Source organism: Homo sapiens, chromosome 2, assembly GCF_000001405.40.
Source record: "Homo sapiens chromosome 2, GRCh38.p14 Primary Assembly".
Lineage (NCBI taxonomy): Eukaryota > Metazoa > Chordata > Mammalia > Primates > Hominidae > Homo > Homo sapiens.
Window position 1 is genome coordinate 127,784,148 of NC_000002.12, and position 19,522 is coordinate 127,803,669.

At 46.1% G+C, this 19,522-nt stretch overlaps 1 protein-coding gene and 1 pseudogene across 6 annotated transcripts in view, besides 1 other annotated feature; both read right to left on the minus strand.

Annotated features, from left to right (window-relative positions):
- The window catches only part of WDR33 (WD repeat domain 33), a 110,145-nt gene that overhangs the window by 83,121 nt on the left and 7,502 nt on the right, over positions 1-19,522 (minus strand). The gene's annotated exons all lie outside the window — the stretch shown is intronic.
- Positions 10,775-10,975: a silencer, noted in NCBI's record as "peak3857 fragment used in MPRA reporter construct". NCBI's record gives its function as "represses an SCP1 promoter by STARR-seq MPRAs in K562 erythroleukemia cells {active_cell/tissue: K562}" and the evidence as "EXISTENCE:reporter gene assay evidence [ECO:0000049][PMID:32103011]".
- RNY4P7 (RNY4 pseudogene 7) lies at positions 14,759-14,851 on the minus strand (annotated as a pseudogene).

The window sequence follows — 19,522 nt, forward strand, 5'->3', positions numbered from 1 at the left end:
ATGTTTGCTTCTGCATTCAGTCTGCTGCAATATGTTATTTAAGTATATGAAAAATAGCCGGGCATATATGAAATATATTATGAAAAAAAATCTGGATTCACACATTTATACATCTAGAAAAGAGTATTTTCACAGCCTTCTAAGACAACTGTAGATATTCTATGATACTCTTTCCCAAAAACAAGCACTAATTTATGAAATACTAACTGCAATGTGTCATCTGAAATCATATTTTTTATTCTTTTTTTGTTTTTCGAGACAGGGTCTCACTCTGTCACCCAGGCTGGAGTGCAGTGGTGCAATCACGGCACCCTGCAGCTTGACCATGTAGGCTCAGGTCATCTTCCACCTCAGCCTCCAGAGTAGCGGGGACTACAGGTACGTGACACCTCACCTGGCCAATTTTTATATTTTGTAGAGATGGGGTTTCACCATGTTGCCCCAGCTGGTCTTGAACTCCTGGGCTCAATCTATCTACTCACCTTGACCTCCCAAAGTACAGAGACTACACGTGTGAGCCACTGTGCATAGCCTTGAAATTGTATCAACAAGCTTTTTATACTCTGTTACATTAAAATCCATTGATTTGTCCTGCAATTTGAATGGAACTTTTACTCATGCATGATTTTTATAACATCATGCACTGACCATCTGGAAAATACTGGTTCCAGAGAATTACGTATATCATCCAATTTTTATCACATTCCTTATAAAATATAACTTTCCTTAAAATAACCATTGTTCTCATCTTAAAATGTATTAATTATTGGGAACCTCAATTTCACAATGGCAGATACAAGCTTTCCAAACTTCTTATCTTGAAAGCTCAGATTTTTATCACTGACAACAAGCTTTCCAAACTTACCTTGAAAGCTCAGATTTTTATCACTGGCAACAAATACTGTTTTCCTTGAATCAACAGGTTGCCTCCATTCATTTTCAAAAAAAATATTTGTCGTGTACCCAGGTATGAATGCCATAGTTTGTCATTCTTTTAATTTTTTTTCTATGGTCTTTGTTATTTAGAGTAGTTTTAGGTTCACAGCAAAATTGAACAGAAAGTACAAAGTTCCCATACATTCTCTCTCAACACACACAGCCCTCCCCACCCCTAACATCCCACATCAGTAGGGAACATTTGTTAGAATCAATGAACCAACACTGATGCATCATTATCACCCAAAGTCCATAGTACACATACGTATGTATTAGCATACATAGGTTCACTCTTGATGTGCTTTCTCTTGAGTTGTGACAAATGTCTAATGACATGTATCCACACAGAATAGTTTCTGCTGCCCTAAAAATCCTCTGCTCTATCTATTCATCCTTCCCTCCCCCAAGCTCCTGGCTATTTACTCATCTTTTTACTGTCTCCACAGTTTTGCCCTTTCCAGAATGTCATACAGTTGGAATCATACAGTGTGGAGCATTTTGAGACTGGCTTCTTTTACTTAGCAATATGCATTTAAGGTTCCTGCATGTCTTTTCAGGTCTTGATAGCTTTTTTTTGTTTTTACTACTATTACTTTTCGTTACTCTATGGATGTACCAAACTTTGTTTACCCACTCCCCTACTGAAAGACATCTGGGTTGCCTCCAAGTTTTGGCAATTATGAACAAAACTACTATAAACATTTGTGTGCACGTTTTTGGGTAGATGTTATTTTCAACTCATGTGACTCAAGGAGCCAGGTTGCTAGATCACATGATAAGGGTATGCTTGGTTTTGTAAGAAACTGCCTAACTATATTCTAAAGTAGGTGTACCATTCTGCATTCCAACTGGCAAAGTGAGAGTTCTTGCTGCTCCGTATCGTTGACAGCATTTGGTGTGGCAGCTGTTTTGAATTTTTGCCATTCTAAAAGGTCTGTAGTATTATCTCATTTATTTTATTCTATTTTTTGAGAGAGTCTCCCTCTGTCACCTAGCCTGAAGTGCAGTAGCACAATCACAGCTCACTGCAGCTTAAACCTCCTAGGCTCAAACAATCCTCTCACCTCAGCCTCCTGAGTAGCTAAGCCCACAGGCATGTGCCACCATGAGTGGTTAAACTGTTCTTTTTTTTGTAGAGACAGGGTCTCACTGTGTTGTCCAGGCTAGTCTGGAACTCCTAGGCTCAAGCGATCCTCCTGCTTTGGCTTTCCAAAGTGCTGTGATGACAGGCATGAGCCACAGTGCCCAGCCGATACTGTTTTTCTCTTATTTCCATATCCAGATGTTCACTATTACAATATAGAAATACAATATTTTGGCAGGACACGGTGGCTCACGCCTGTATTCTCAACACTTTGGGAGGCTGAGGCAGACGGATCACTTGAGGCCAGGAGTTCAAGACCAGCTCAGTCAACATGGCAAAACTTTGTCTCTACTAAAAATACAAACATTAGCTGGGCATGGTGGTGCACACCTGTGATCCCAGCTACACAGGAGGCTACAGCATGAGAATTGCTTGAACCTGGGAAGTTGGAGATTTCAGTGAGCCAAGATTGCGTCACTGCACTCCAGCCTGGGCAAAACAGCAAGACTCTGTCTCAAAATATATATATGTATTTTTTTTAAATATGCTGTCCATATATCCTATAACCTTGATAAACTCAATTTATTCTAGAAGCTTTCTTGTAGATTCCTTGGGATTTTCTAAATAGACATATATCATCTGCAAAGAGGTACAATTTTATTTCTTCCTTTCTGTTCTTTTTTTTTTTTTTTTTTTAATTTATTTTTTTATTGATAATTCTTGGGTGTTTCTCACAGAGGGGGATTTGGCAGGGTCATGGGACAATAGTGGAGGGAAGGTCAGCAGATAAACAAGTGAACAAAGGTCTCTGGTTTTCCTAGGCAGAGGACCCTGCGGCCTTCCGCAGTGTTTGTGTCCCTGATTACTTGAGATTAGGGATTGGTGATGACTCTTAACGAGCATGCTGCCTTCAAGCATCTGTTTAACAAAGCACATCTTGCACCGCCCTTAATCCATTTAACCCTGAGTGGACACAGCACATGTTTCAGAGAGCACAGGGTTGGGGGTAAGGTCACAGATCAACAGGATCCCAAGGCAGAGGAATTTTTCTTAGTGCAGAACAAAATGAAAAGTCTCCCATGTCTACTTCTTTCTACACAGACACGGCAACCATCCGATTTCTCAATCTTTTCCCCACCTTTCCTGCCTTTCTATTCCACAAAGCCGCCACTGTCATCCTGGCCCGTTCTCAATGAGCTGTTGGGCACACCTCCCAGACGGGGTGGTGGCCGGGCAGAGGGGCTCCTCACTTCCCAGTAGGGGTGGCCGGGCAGAGGCGCCCCTCACCTCCCGGACGGGGCAGCTGGCCGGGCGGGGGGCTGACCCCCCCCACCTCCCTCCCGGACGGGGCGGCTGGCCGGTCGGGGGGCTGACACCCCCACCTCCCTCCCGGACGGGGCGGCTGGCCGGGCAGAGGGGCTCCTCACTTCCCAGTAGGGGCGGCCGGGCAGAGGCGCCCCTCACCTCCCGGACGGGGCGGCTGGCCGGGCGGAGGGCTGACCCCCCCACCTCCCTCCCGGACGGGGCGGCTGGCCGGGCGGGGGGCTGACACCCCCACCTCCCTCCCGGACGGGGCGGCTGGCCGGGCAGAGGGGCTCCTCACTTCCCAGTAGGGGCGGCCGGGCAGAGGCGCCCCTCACCTCCCGGACGGGGCGGCTGGCCGGGCGGGGGGGCTGACCCCCCCCCACCTCCCTCCCGGACGGGGCGGCTGGCCGGGCGGGGGGCTGACACCCCCACCTCCCTCCCGGACGGGGCGGCTGGCCGGGCAGAGGGGCTCCTCACTTCCCAGTAGGGGCGGCCGGGCAGAGGCGCCCCTCACCTCCCGGACGGGTTGGCTGGCCGGGCGGGGGGGCTGACACCCCCCACCTCCCTCCCGGACGGGGCGGCTGGCCGGGCGGGGGGCCGACACCCCCACCTCCCTCCCGGACGGGGCGGCTGGCCGGGCTGAGGGGCTCCTCACTTCCCAGTAGGGGCGGCCGGGCAGAGGCGCCCCTCACCTCCCAGACGGGGCGGCTGGCCGGGCGGAGGGCTGACCCCCCCACCTCCCTCCCGGACAGGGCGGCTGGCCAGGCAGGGGGCTGACCCCCCCCACCTCCCTCCCGGACAGGGCGGCCGGCCGGGCGGGGGGCTGACCCCCCCACCTCCCTCCCGGACGGGGCGGCTGGCCGGGCAGAGGGGCTCCTCACTTCCCAGTAGGGGCGGCCGGGCAGAGGCGCTCCTCACCTCCCGGACGGGGCGGCTGGCCGGGCGGAGGGCTGACCCCCCCCACCTCCCTCCCGGACGGGGCGGCTGGCCGGGCGGGGGGCTGACACCCCCACCTCCCTCCCGGACGGGGCGGCTGGCCGGGTGGGGGGGCTGACCCCCCCATCTCCCTCCCGGACGGGGTGGCTGGCCGGGCTGAGGGGCTCCTCACTTCCCAGTAGGGGCGGCCGGGCAGAGGCACCCCTCACCTCCCGGACGGGGCGGCTGGCCGGGCGGGGGGCTGACCCCCCCACCTCCCTCCCGGACGGCACGGCTGGCCAGGTGGGGGGCTGACCCCCCCACCTCCCTCCCGGATGGCACGGCTGGCCGGTCGGGGGGGCTGACCCCCCACCTCCCTCCCAGATGGGGCGGCTGGCCGGGCGGGGGGTTGACCCCCCCCCACCTCCCTCCCGGACGGGGTGGCTGCCGGGCGGAGATGCTCCTCACTTCCCAGATGGGGTGGCTGCCGGGCGGAGAGGCTCCTCACTTCTCAGACGGGGCAGCTGCCGGGCGGAGGGGCTCCTCACTTCTCAGACGGGGTGGTTGCCAGGCAGAGGGTCTCCTCACTTCTCAGACGGGGCGGCCGGGCAGAGACGCTCCTCACCTCCCAGACGGGGTCTCGGCCGGGCAGAGGCACTCCTCACATCCCAGATGGGGCGGCGGGGCAGAGGCGCTCCCCACATCTCAGACGATGGGCGGCCGGGCAGAGACGCTCCTCACTTCCTAGATGTGATGGCGGCTGGGAAGAGGCGCTCCTCACTTCCTAGATGGGATGGCGGCCGGGCGGAGACGCTCCTCACTTTCCAGACTGGGCAGCCAGGCAGAGGGGCTCCTCACATCCCAGACGATGGGCGGCCAGGCAGAGACGCTCCTCACTTCCCAGACGGGGTGGCGGCCGGGCAGAGGCTGCAATCTCGGCACTTTGGGAGGCCAAGGCAGGCGGCTGGGAGGTGTAGGTTGTAGTGAGCCGAGATCACGCCACTGCACTCCAGCCTGGGCACCATTGAGCACTGAGTGAACGAGACTCCGTCTGCAATCCCGGCACCTCGGGAGGCTGAGGTTGGCGGGATCACTCGCGGTTAGGGGCTGGAGACCGGCCCGGCCAACACAGCGAAACCCCGTCTCCACCAAAACCAGTCAGGCGTGGCGGCGCGTGCCTGCAATGGCAGGCACTCGGCAGGCTGAGGCAGGAGAATCAGGCAGGGAGGTTGCAGTGAGCCGAGATGGCAGCAGTACAGTCCAGCTTCGGCTCCGCATCTTCCTTTCTGTTCTAAAAGCCTTTTCATTTCTTTTTCTTGCCTTATTGTACTGTTCCAAACTTTAGGGAGGAGGCATTTCTCCTTTACTATTAAGTATGACATAACTACAGATTTTTTGTAGATGCCCTTTATCAGACTGAAGTAAATCCTTTCTATTACTGGTTTGCTAAAAAAAAATTTTTTTTTGAGACAGGGTCTCACTCTGTCACCCAGGCTGGAGTGCAGTGGTGTGATCTCGGCTCACTGCAGCCTCCGCCTCCCAGGCTCAAGCAATCCTTTCACCTCAGCCTCCAGAATAGCTCGGACTACAGGTGCATGCCACCACGCCTGGCTAATTTTTTTTATTTTTAGTAGAGACAGGGTTTCGACATGTTGCCCTGGCTGGTCTCCATCTCCTAGGCTCAAGAGATACTCCTGCCTCAGCCTCCCAAAGTGATGGGATTACAGGCATGAGCCACCACGCTTGGCCTGTAAAAATTATCATGAAAGTATACTGGAGTTTGTCAAATACTTATTCTCCATCTAAAGAGATGATCATATGGTTTTCCTTAGTCTACTAATAGACTAAATTATCCTGACTGATTTTCAAATTTTGAACCAGCCTTGTATTCCCAGAATAAACCTCATTGATCACAATGTATTATCCTTTTTATACTATATATTGCTGGATTTGAGTTACTAATATTTTGTTGTGACTTCTGAATCTATATTCATGAGGGATACTGGTGTGGTTTTCTTTTCTTGTAATATCTGTATCTGGTTTTATATCAAGTCCCATAAAATGATTTGAGAGGTATGCCTTCTAATATTTCCTGGATGAGAGTATGTAGAATTGATATTATTCTTAAATATTTGGTAGAAGTGGCCAGCGAAACCATCTCAACCTCAACTTTCCTTTGGAAGATTTTTAACTATAAATTCAATTCATTTAACTATGAATTCAATTTTATTTTATTTTTGAAACCAGGTCTCACTCCATTGCCCAGGCTACAGCGCATGGCCAGAGGACCACAGTTCACTGCAGCCTCGAACTCCTGGGCTCAAGCGATCCTCCTGTCTCAGCCTCCCAAGTAGCTGGGACAATAAACACATGACCCACACCCAGCTTGAATTCGATTTCTTTAATAGATATAGGACTATTCAGGTTACATATTTTTTCTTGAGTGAGTTTTAGTTTGTGTCTTTGAAGGAGTTGATCAATTTCTCTTAAGTCATCAAATTTAGGGGCATGGAATTGTTCACGATATTCCCTTATCATCATTTTAATGTCTGTAAGATCTGTAGTAATATTCCCCCTCTTTCATTCCTGATATTGTTCACTTGGGCCCCCTCCTTAACCTCTCCCCATCTCTCTCAACAGTCTGTCATTCTTTCAAGTCAAAATTAGGCTCCATGGAAAAAGTAAATAGTACAATTATGTAAGTGCTTTCTCTCAAGAAAATTGCCCTACTTCTATAAATAGCAAAAGTACTTTATCCAAACTCTTTCCCCACCCCACCCCCCCCCCCAGCAACTGCGTCTCACTCTGTCACCCAGGCTGCAAGACAGTGGCACAATCATACCTCACTGCAGCCTCAAACTCCTGGGCTCAAGCAATCCTCCCGCCTCGGCCTCCCAAAGTACTGTGATTACAGACATGAGCCACCACAGCCAACCCACACTTCCCATTTCATCATGTGCTATGTATTAGTCTGCTTGGCTGCCATAAAAATACCATAGACTGGGTGGCTTTAAACCACAGAAATTTAGTTTTTCACAGTTCTAGAAGCTGGAAGTCCAAGATCAAGGTGCCAGCATAACCAGGTCCAAGTGAGGGCTCTCTTTCTGGCTTGACGGAAAGAGAAACAGCAAACTTTCTGGTGTTTCTGCTATTAAAGGTACTATTCCCATCATGAGGGCCCCAACCTCATGACCTCAGCTAAACCTAGTGATGTCACAGAGGCCCCCATCTCCAAATGTCATCACACTGGGGGTTACTACTTCAGCATATAAATATAAGGGAATACGACTCAATCCAAAGCATCCTGTATTAGAAATCATATGCTCAAGAGGTGACATTTAATAAAATTATATTTACCACTTCATCAGTGACATTCTTAAGTGAAATTGTCTTTTTTCTTTTCAACTACCAGCATGAGGTAAAAGTAACATACCTACTACAGTTTGGTAGCACTGCCTTGAATGATGCTAAGGAGCTAGTAGTTTTATCCATTACTGCTTTTATAACATAACTGCAAGCATCAACAGTAAAAAGGCCTTATAATGTCTTAGTATCTTTTTTTTTTTTTTGAGACGGAGTCTCATGCTGTCACCCAGGCTGGAGTGCAGTGGTGTGATCTCAGCTCACTGCAACCTCTGCCTCCCAAGTTCAAGCGATTCTCCTGCCTCAGCCTCCTGAGTAGCTGGGATTATAAGCATGCACCACCACGCCCGGCTAATTTTTGTATTTTTAGTAGAGACTGGGTTTCACCGTGTTGGTCAGGCTGGTCTCGAACTCCGGACCTCAGGTGATCCACCCGCCTCAGCCTCCCAAAGTGCTGGGATTACAAGCGTGAGCCACCACACTCAGCCATCTTAGTATCTTAGCAGTGGTATGAAAACAGTTCTGACCTCACTTTGAGAACTCACCACTGCCTTACAGAATTAAGTTCAACTAACAAAGGAAAAAAAATTTCCAAACTGAGATGTTTATTAGCAATTTAAGCTATTCTTGGCAGGGCAGGTGGCTCACGCCTATAATCCCAGCACTTTGGGAGGCTGAGGCGGGCAGATCACTTGAGGTCAGAAGTTCGAGACCAACTTGGCCAACATGGTGAAACCCCGTCTCTACTAAAAATAAAAAAATTAGATGGGCATGGTAGTGTGCAGTGTGCGCCTGTAATCCCAGCTACTCGGGAGGCTGAGGCAGGAGAATCGCTTGAACCTGGGAGGCGGAGGCAGAGGCTGCAGTGAGCCAAGATTGTGCCACTGAACTCCAGACTGGGCAAAAAAGAGTGAGACCCCGTCTCAAAAAGAAAAAAAAAAGGTATTATTACAAATAAATCATGAGAGATAGTAAAACTTGATCCATTCACAAACTTTCCAAATTTGATTATTAGGTAAATTAGCAAATTAGGTAAATGATCAAGCTATACTTTTCACTTGACGACTCTGTTATCTTAGGAGAAAATATAAAGTTCCATGGGGTCTAAAAAGGAAAAAAATAAAAACTACCTTGATTAGAGTACCTGGGTTGTGATGAAACAAACAAAGCAGGCCAGTGGTATACTATAAACACACTCATAGAGAGATACGTCAGAAACATTACCACAGATTGCCTCTGGGAAAAAAAATTAGATGAGTTAGCATAAAAGTGAGGAGAAATTTCAGGTGTACCTTTTGAATTTCATACATGTATGTGTATTCACTATCCCCCAAGATAAATTAAAATTTATTTCACAGGTAATATCTAATGATTTGGTACATCAAAAACTCAATTTAGGGCCTGGCACGGTGGCTCATGCCTGTAATCCTAGCACTTTGGGAGGCCGAGGCAGGTGGATCATCTGAGGTCAAGAGTTCGAGACCAGCCTGGCCAACATGGTGAAACCCCGTCTCCACTAAAAATATAAAAATTAGCCGGGCATGATGGCGGGTGCCTGTAATCCCACCTACTCGGGAGGCTAAGGCAGGAGAATCGCTTCAACCCGGGAGAAGGAGGTTGCAGTGAGCCGAGATCATACCACTGCACTCCAGCCTAGGCAACAGAGCAAGACTCTGTCTCAAGGAAAAAAAACAAAAAGCTCAATTTAGTCCAGGCAAGGTGGGTCAAGCCTGTAATCCCAGCACTTTGGGAGGCCAAGGCAGGAGGATCACTTGAGGCCAGGAGTTCAAGACCACCCTGAGCAACATACTGAGATCCCATCTCTACAAAAATAAAATAAATTAGCCGGGCATGGTGGCAGGTACTTGTGGTCCTAGCTACTTGGAAGGCTGAGGAAGTAGAATCACCTGAATCCAGGTGTTTGAGGCTGCAGTGAGTTATGATCATGCCACTATACTCCAGCCTGGGTGACAGAGCAAGACCCTGTCTCAAAAAAATGAAAACAAACAAAAAGACTCAATGTAAAACAGTATGAAATTTCACCACCTTACTCAACTTGGGAAATAGAAGCCAGAATTAAGTTTTAAGAAACTATATTGTTCGGGCAGGCACAGTGGCTCACGCCTGTAATCCCTGAACTTTGGGAGGCCAAGGCAGGAGGAAAGATTGAGCTCAGAAGTTCGAGACCAGCCTGGGCAAAATGGTGAAACCCTGTCTCTACCAAAATACAAAAAATTAGCCAGGAGTGGTGGCGCACCCGTGGCCCCAGCTACTTGGGTGGCTGAGGCGGGAGAATCATTTGAGCCCAGGAGGTCAAGGCTGCAGTGGTCGAGGCTACAGTGAGCCAAGATCATGCCACTGCACTCCAGCCTAGGTGACAGAGGGAGATCTTGTCAAGACAGACAGACAGACAGAAAGACAGACAGAGACAAGAAAGAAAGTAAGCAAGCAAGCAAGAAAGAAAGCCGGCCAGGCACGGTGGCTCATGCCTGTAATCCCAGCACTTTGGGAGGCAGAGGCAGGTGGATCACCTGAGGTCAGGAGTTCTAGACCAGCTTGGCCAACATGGTAAAACCCCATCTCTACTAAAAATACAAAAATTAGCTGGGTGTGGTGGCAGGTGCCTGTAATCCCAGCTACTCGGGGGGCTGAGGCAGGAGAATCACTTGAACTTGGGGGGGCAGAGGTTGCAGTGAGTCAAGATTGCACCATCGCACCCCAGCCTGGGGGACAAGAGCGAGACTTCATCAAAGGAAAGGAAAGGATAGGAAAAGAAAAGAGACAAAGACAAGACGAAAGAGGTCAGGCACAGTAGCTCATGCCTATAATCCCAGCACTTTGGGAAGCCAAGGAGGGCAGATCACTTGAGATCAGGAGTTCAAGACCAACCCGGCCAATATGGTGAAACCCCTGTCTCTACTAAAAATACAAAAATTAGCCAGGTGTAGTGGCGGGCAACTGTAGTTCCAGCTACTAAGGAGGCTAAGGCAGGAGAGTTGCTTGAACCCAGGAGGCAGAGGTTGCAGTGAGCCGAGATCATGCCACTGCACCCCAGCCTGGGCGACAAAGCGAGACTCCGTTTCAAAAAAAAAAAAAAAAAAAGAAAGAAAGAAAGAAATACTTTCAAGCTGGGTGTGGTGAATATGCACCTGTAATCCTAGCTACTGGGAGGCTGAGGCGGGAGGATCACTTGAGCCCAGTAGTTCAAGTCCTGAGCAACATGATAAGACCCTGGTGTCAAAACATAAAAATAAAATACTTTCTATTCTTAAACTGCATGCTACTAATCTGTAGGTTGATGGTGAACATGGAATCTGTACAAGGGAAGTAAGTTATGAAGCAATAACTTCTCTTTTTTTTTTTTTTTTGAGAGGGAGTCTCACTCTGTTGCCCAGGCTGGAGTGCAATGGTGCGATCTCGGCTTACTGCAACCTCTGCCTCTCGGGTTCAAGCAATTCTCCTGCCTCAGCCTCCTGAGTAGCTGAGACTACAGGCGTGTACCACCATGCCCGGCTAATTTTTGTATTTTTAATAGAGACAGGGTTTCACTATGTTGGCCAGGATGGTCCAGAACTCCTGACCTCGTGATCTGCCCACCTCAGCCTCCCAAAGTGTTGGGATTAAAGGCGTGAGCCATCGTGCCCTGCCTGAAACAATAACTTTTAATGCTGAAGGTCCTAATACCCTGATGGGTCCCAATCTCTAGAACACAGCTACACCTGTCAGGCAGGCAGAATTACATTTTTTTAGTCCATAACAATGGACAAATTAGTTAGATTTGCAGAATTATGTACTCCAGTTTAAAGAAAATACAGAGGAAAAAAGTTACCAAACCATAGGATACACAAACATACAAGAAATTCTACAAGATAACAGCCTAAGCAACATGGCAAAACCTCCTTTCTATAAAAAAAAAAAAAAAACACCAAAAAGTTAGCCAGGTGTGGTGGCATGCTCCTGTGGTCACAGCTACTCAGGAGGCTGAGATGGAGAGGATCACTTGTGCACAGGAGGTCCAGGCTGCAGCGAGCTGAGATGGAGCCACTGCACTCTAGCCTGGGCAACACAGCAAGGCTTTGTCTCCGGAAAAAAAAAAACTGTCTTGAAACCTCCAGAAGTTAATGCAAGAAGGAGAAAATGGGGAGGGGAGAGCTATTCTAGATGAGACTAAAAGATAAAAGCAACCTTGATGGAATGTTAGTTCTTTAAAAAAAAGTTGCCTAAGATATTTTGGGGCAATTAGGTAAACTTGGTATACATAATAGATTTACCTAGGTAAATTAGGTAAATAGAACAGGTATTAATATTAGGTGATTACTGTTAATTTTTTTTTTTTTTTTTGAGACAGTCTTGCTCTGTCACCCAGACTGGAGTGCAGTGGCACCATCATAGCTCACTGCAACCTTGACCTCCTGGGCTCAAGTGATCCTCCCACCTCAGCCTCCTGAGTAGCTGGGACTATACAGCATGTGCCACCACATCTGGCTAATTTTTGTATATTTTTTTAGAGACAGGGTTTCAACATGTTGCCCAGGCTGGTCTCAAACTCCTGGCCTCAAGGGATCTGCCCGACTCAGCCTCCCAAAGTACTGGGATTACGGGCATAAACCACCACACCTGGCTGTTAATTTTCTCATGTGTGAGAGATAGCACTACTGTGGTTAAGGAAAATCTCTACTGCAGCAAGCACAGTGGCTCACGCCTATAATCCCAGCACTTTGGGAGACCAAGATAGGTCCCATTGCTTGAGCTCAAGAGTTCAAGTTCAAGCCCAGCCTGAGCAACAAAATGAGACCCTGACTCTACAAAAAAATCATTTCTTGGGCTCTTTCCCAGCATACATACACATACTCTCTCTCTCTCTCATTTCCTCTTTCCTGTTTCAATTTTAGTTTTCTTCATTACATGCTTTTTTATTCCATTTTATTAACCAGTTTTATTCCCACATTTTATGTACACTATCTTCATGTCCTTTGTATACTGCCTTCAGGGAAAACAATCTACATTAATGTCTTTGTATTTCGGTCTCCTAAATGACTAGGTTCAGGGGAAAAGTTTCAGTACACATTCTGGTTGTTTGAATTTTGAATTAAAAAGCATACTTCTTATATCCTTGGAGTTAACAACAAAAAATAATTAACCGGAAAAACTGTCTGTTTCCCCAAGGTCAAACCATAATCAATCCTCATTAGCCCCAGATTCTGCAATTGCGAATTTACCTACTTGCTAAAATTGACCTGTAGCCCCAAAATCAATACTCACAGTGCACCACCAGTCATTCCACCACACAAAGCACATGAATGTCCATGAATGATCACCATGGCAGGGAAAATTTTCCTTGCAAATCACAAAATAATTAATGTAACCAGTTGATTCCTGATGGATGATTTTCCTATTTTATACCTTTTAGCTACAAAATATAACTGATAAATGTTAGCTCTCTCTCAAAGACATTAAACCAGGCCAGGCGCAGTGGCTCGTGTCTGTAATCCCAGAACTTTGGGAGGCTGAGGTAGGCAGATCATGAGGTCAGAAGTTCGATACCAGCCTGGCCAACATGGTGAAACCCCGTCTCTACTAAAAATACAAAAATTAGCTGGGCGTGGTGGCGCACACCTGTAATCCCAGCTACTTAGGAGGCTGAGGCAGGAGAATCACTTGAACCCAGGAGGCAGAGGTTGCAGTCAGCCAAGATCACACCACTGCACTCCACCCTGGGTGACAGAACAAGACTACGTCACACACAAAAAAAGATATTAAGCCAAAAAACCCCTCCAAGCTATATTATGAAATGTTTTAGTGGCTTTTTTTGTAAAAGTGGGAACACTAAACTGGTATTCAGGTGACCTGAATTCTGCCACTCTGTAATTATGAACAAATTTAATCTCTCCAGTGTTGTTTATCTTCAAATTAAAGGGTCTAGATTTGATGATCTCTAGAGGCAAAATAATTTCATAATTTCAAGATCACAAGCCAACAGGCCAGGCACGGTGGTTCAAGCCTGTAATCCCAACACTTCGGGAGGCTGAGGAAGGTGGATCACCCGAGCTCAGAAGTTCGAGACCAGTCTGGGCAACATGGCAAAACCCTGTCTCTACCAAAAACACAAAAACTTAGCCGGGCATGGTGGTACACAACTGTGGGTCCCAGCTACTCAGGGGGCTGAAGCAGGAGGACTGCTTGAGCCCAGGAAGTCGAGGTTCCAGTAAGCCAAGATGACACCACTGCACTTCAACCTGGTGACAGAGTGAGACCCCATCTCAAAAGATTATGTAGAAAGCAGGTAGGAAATTTCCAAAATTCCTTTCTTAAACCTTGCTTAACAAATGAATTTAAGCCGGGCGTGGTGGCTCATGTCTGTAATCCCAGCACTCTGGGAGGCCGAGGCAGGTGGATCACCTGAGATCAGGAGTTCAAGACCAGCCTGGCCAACATGGTGAAACCCTGTCTCTACTGAAAATACAAAATTTAGCCGGGCATGGTGGCACATGCCTGTAATCCCAGCTACCAGGGGGGCTGAGGCAGGAGGATCGCTTGAACCTGGGAAACAGAGGTTGCAGTGAGCCAAGATCGTGCCACTGCACTCCAGCCTAGGCAACAGGGCGAGACACCGTCGCAAAAAAAAAAAAAAAAAAAAAAAAAAAATGAATTTAAAAGCATTTAACAAAATAGGAAAAGACAATCATTCCCAAAGGAACAATCCTAAAGAGCTGGTTGGCCCTGAATATTTCAAATCTGTCAATAGCAAGATAAAATGATAAGCTTAAGCTTTTATGAGCCTCTTGATTTCAGAACTATGGTTCTCAGGTTCTAGTTCTACTATCTACACAGACCTAAAAGCCTAACCAGTTAACTAGTTCCTCAGTATATCTGGAATTTATGATGTCTTTTAATTACCTTATGACACATACCATCTTAACAGTTTGATATTTCCCTCCAAACAAGTCAGTTTAGATTTCAAAAAAAACAGTGTTATTAGAGATACGATGAACTGAAAGTTAAACAAATATCTAAAAAAGTCGTGAAAAAAAATTCACCAATGAAACCTGTCCTTAATTTTTACTTGAACCTCCCTCTACTAAGTAAAATTTAAGTTATTGAAAACTGCTTTTATTAGACCAAAACTAAAGCTTATAGCTTTCTTTTTTTTTTTTTAAGCCAGTCAAATTTAGCAGTTGGGGGTTGTATATCAACTTCAGTGACACTAATGTTAATGAGTTCTGATAACCCACTACCATCGGACCAGCCAAAAGCTTATAGCTTTCTAACCACAAGGTCAAACTCACTATAGCTGCTTTCTAATAAAAAAGTCAAACTCATATTCACATTTATACCAATGGAGGAGAATCTACATTCTCAAATGAGAAAAATCAGTTGCTTAACCAATTGCCAACTGCATTAAATACAGAGAATACATTCAGGACCTTGGGTTAGGCAAAGCTGCCTTAGATGTAATACCAATGCACAATAAACAAAAGAAAAAGTAGGTAAATTGGACATAATCAAAATTGGAAACTTCTTTGCTTCAATGACACCATAAAAAAATCAAAACACTGTCTTCCTACACATGACTTGGGAAAAAAAGTTAAAAAAAGGAAAACAAATCCACAAAAAGGGTAAAAATTTCTGCAAATCATGTATCCGATGAGACTTGCATCCAGAATACACGAAGAACTCTTAAAACTCAATAATAACAAGAAATAACCCAATTTCTTAAATGGGCAAAGAATGTGAATAGTTATTTCTCCAAAGAAGATATACAGGCTGGACACGGTGGCTCACGCCTGTAATCCCAGCACTTTGGGAGGCCAAGGCAGGTGGATCACTTGGGGTCAGGAGTTTAAGACCAGCCTGCGCAACATGGCGAAACCCCATATCTACTAAAAATACAAAAATTAGCCGGACATGGTGGCAGGCACCTGTAATCCCAGCTACTCAGGAGGCTGAAGCAGGAGAATCGCATCAATAGAAAAATGCAAAACAAAACCACGATGAGCACCAGGAACAGTGGTTCCAGCTACTCGAACCACCTCCTGCTGGAGTTCAGGCAGGAGGACTGCTTGAGCCCAAGAGTTCGAGGCTGCAGTGCACTGTGATCACACCTGCACTCCTGCCTGGGCAACAGAGTGAGACCCCGTCTCTAAAATATATAAATAAATGAATACCACAATTAGATAACACTTCACATCCACTGGGATGGCTATGGTCAAAAAGAGGGAAAATAAGAAGTGTTAGTGAGAATGTGGAGAAACAGTAACCCTCATGAGAAGTCCATCTGGATTACAAAAGAATAGTGGTTGTTAGGCATAAAATAAACTGAAAATTAGGTGGGAAAATAGTCAAGAATTTCCTCAAATGTTAAATGTCAAAATACCATGTGACCCAGCAATTCTACGCCTAGGTAAATTCCCAAGGGAACTGAAAGCATTATGTCCACACAAATATTTGTACGTGAATGTTTACAGCAGCGTTATTAATAATAATCAAAAAGTGAAAACAATCCTAATGTCCATCAACTGAATCATAAAAATTACAGCTTCTGATCCCAAATCACCATCAACACTTAACAAAAATAATCTTTCTCCTTAAAAACAAGAAGCAAGCCTGGGCGCAGTGGCTCATGCCTGTACTCCCAGCACTTTGGGAGGCCGCGGCAGGCGGATCATGAGGTCAGGAGATCAAGACCATCCTGGCTAACATGGTGAAACCCCGTCTCTGTTAAAAAAATTCAAAAAAATTAGCCAGGCGTGGTGGAGGGCGCCTGTAGTCCCAACTACTCGAGAGGCTGAGGCAGGAGAATGGCATGAACCCAGGAGTCGGAGCTTGCAGTGAGCTGAGATCGCATCACTGCACTCCAGCCTGGGCAACATAATGAGACTCCGTCTCAAAAAAAAAAAAAAAAAACCAACAAGCAAAAAAATTCAAATGTTATGAAGGAATTGCAGAGGGAAAAAAATAATAATAAAACCATAGACTTTACAAAGCCTATTTCTGTAAACTGTACTTGGCCCTGAGTTTTAATTTAAATCTATTCCTGTATATGAAACTGAAACTTTATTAAAGCTATTTAAGACAGAAATCTCCTTCCTTTTACAAAAAATAATTGTGTACACAGTATTGCCACAATAAACTGGTTAAAGCTCTTTACTGAAACTTTTAACAGTCTAACTTCTGAAACTCAATGATAGCTGTAGTGATGGAATATTACTATTATTGGGCTGTAAAACTTTAGGATGGGCATAGTGGCTCATGCCTATTGTAATCTCAGCACTTCAGGAAGCCGAAGTGGGAAGATGGAGCCCAGGAGTTTGAGACCAGCCAGGACAGACAACATAGTGAGACCCTGTCTCTAGGAAAAAAAAAAAAAAGAAAAGAAAAACAAAATTAGCCAGGCATGGTGACATACACCTGTTGTCCCAGCCGCTCGGGAGGCTAAGGCAGGAGGTTTGCTTGAGCCCGGGACGTTGAGGCACAGTGAGCTATGATTATACCACTGTACTCCAGCAGGGGTAACAGAAGGAGACCTTTTCTCAGAGGAAAAACACACACAGACACAGAAAATAATAACTGTTGGTAAGAACATGAAGAAATTGGAACCATTGTGTACTGACTGTAAAATGGTACAATGAGGCTGGGCATGGTGGCTCACACCTGTAATCCTAGCACTTTGGGAGGCCATGGTGGGAGGATCACTTTGAGGCGAAGACCAGCCTGAGCAACACAGTGAGACTCTGTCTCTAAAAAACAAACAAACAAACAAAAAACACACAACAAAAAAAAAAAAAACAGTACAATCACTATGAAAAACAGTATAGAGGTTCTTCAAAAATGTTAAAAACAGAATTACATTATGAGCCAGGTGCAGTGGTTCATGCCTATCTCAGGACTTTGTGGAGCGGAGGCATGTGCATCACTTGAGGTTAGGAGTTCAAGACCAGCCTAGCCAACATGGTGAAATCCCATCTCTACTAAAAATACAAAAAATTAGCTGGGCGTGGTGGTGCACACCTGTAGTGCCAGCTACTCGGGAGACTGAGGCAGGATAATTGTTTGAACCCAGGAGACGGATGCTGCAGTGAGCCGAGATCGTGCCACTGCACTCCTGCCTGGGTGATACAGTGAGACTCCATCTCAAAAAAAATGGTTAAGGCCAGGCACAGTGGCTCCTGCTTGTAATCCCAGCACTTTGGGAGGCTGAGGCAGGCAGATCACTTGAGGTCAGGAATTCCAGACCACCCTGGCCAACATGGTAAAACCCCGTCTCTACTAAAAATACAAAAATTAGCCAGGTGTGGTGGCATGCACCTGTAGTCCCAGCTACTCAGGAGGCTGAGGCAGGAGAATCACTTGAACCCAGGAGTGAGCTGAGATCACGCCACTGCACTCCAGCCTGGAGGAGAGAGCAAGACTCCGACTCAAAAAAAAAAAATTAAGACAGTAAAATTTTGCTATGCATTTATCACAATTTATAAAAAAAAAAATCAAGTGTCACAAGCATATACAGCATGCCAACTTTCTTCTAAGAATGTGAAAATAAGAATATACACAGTAAAAACTGGAATGAACTCCAGAGCTCAGAGACAGAAGCAAGACTTAACTACTTTTTCTTCAGCCTCCGTCTCCTGGGTGCAAGCAATTCTCCTGCCTCATCCTTCAGAGTAGCTGGGATTACAGGCATGTGCCACCACGCCTGGCTAATTTTTGTATTTTTAGTAGAGATGGGGTTTCACCATGTTGGCCAGGCTGGTCTCAAACTCCTGACCCCAGGTGATCTGCCCCCCTCGGCCTCCCAAAGTGCTGGGATTACAGATGTGAGCCACCACGCCCAGCCAGTACTTTTTCAATATAGTATTTAATTTTATTCCTTCTTGGTCACAGGTGCTTAAAAATTTTTTTTCAGTAGATTTTAAACCATGTAAATAACGTATTAAAAAAACTAAATTACGTCTGGGTGCAGTGGCTCATGCCTTGTAATCCTAGTATTTTGGGAGGCTGAGGAGGGAGGAACCGATGACCCCAGGAGTTCGAGCCCAGACTGGGCAACATGGCAAAACCCAGACTATACCAAAAAACACAAAAAATTAGCCAGGCATGGTGGTGCGCACTTGTCGTTCCAGCTACTTGGGAGGCTGAGGTGGGAGGATCACCCAAACCTGCGAGGTTGAGGCTACAGGGAGCCAAAACTGCACCACTACACTCCAGCCTAGGTAACAGATTGAGATCTTGTCTCAAAAACAAACAAACAAAAAAACTAAATTAAGAGGGAGAAAAAGCAAACCCTAATAATGAATACAAACAAAAACTGTGAAATTTGATAATCAAAATAAACAAATTCAACAAACAAGCTGAAAAATGTTATTTCAAGTAACTTTTGAAGAAAGTTCATCTTTAATGCAGTATACGCTAAGAAAAAAAAGGACTGGAAAAAAAACTGCACTTGGTAGGGTTATTGTTAGTAAAATACTGGCATTATAAATCTGACTCTGTTTTCTGTGTAGAAAATGCCACTAATGTTAACTTTGATTAGGAATTTAAAATACCAATGTAGGCCAGGCACAGTGGCTCACGTCTGTAATCCCAACACTTTGAGAGGCCAAAGTGAGCGGATCACTTAAGGCCAGGGGTTCGAGACCAGCCTGGCCAATATGGTAAAACCCCATCTCTACTAAAAATACAAAAATTAGCCAGACGCCTGTAATCCTAGCTGCTCGGGAGGCTGAGGCACAAGAATCGCTTCAACCCAGGAGGCAGAGGTTGCAATGAGCCAAGATTGCACAACTGCACTCCAGCCTAGGTGACAGAGGGAGACTGTCTCAAAAAATAAATAAAATAAAATACCAATGTAAGCTGATGATTTTTAATATCATGTTTTCTAGCTCTGTCCACTGAAAAGGGCATACAAGCAAATGCATACACCAC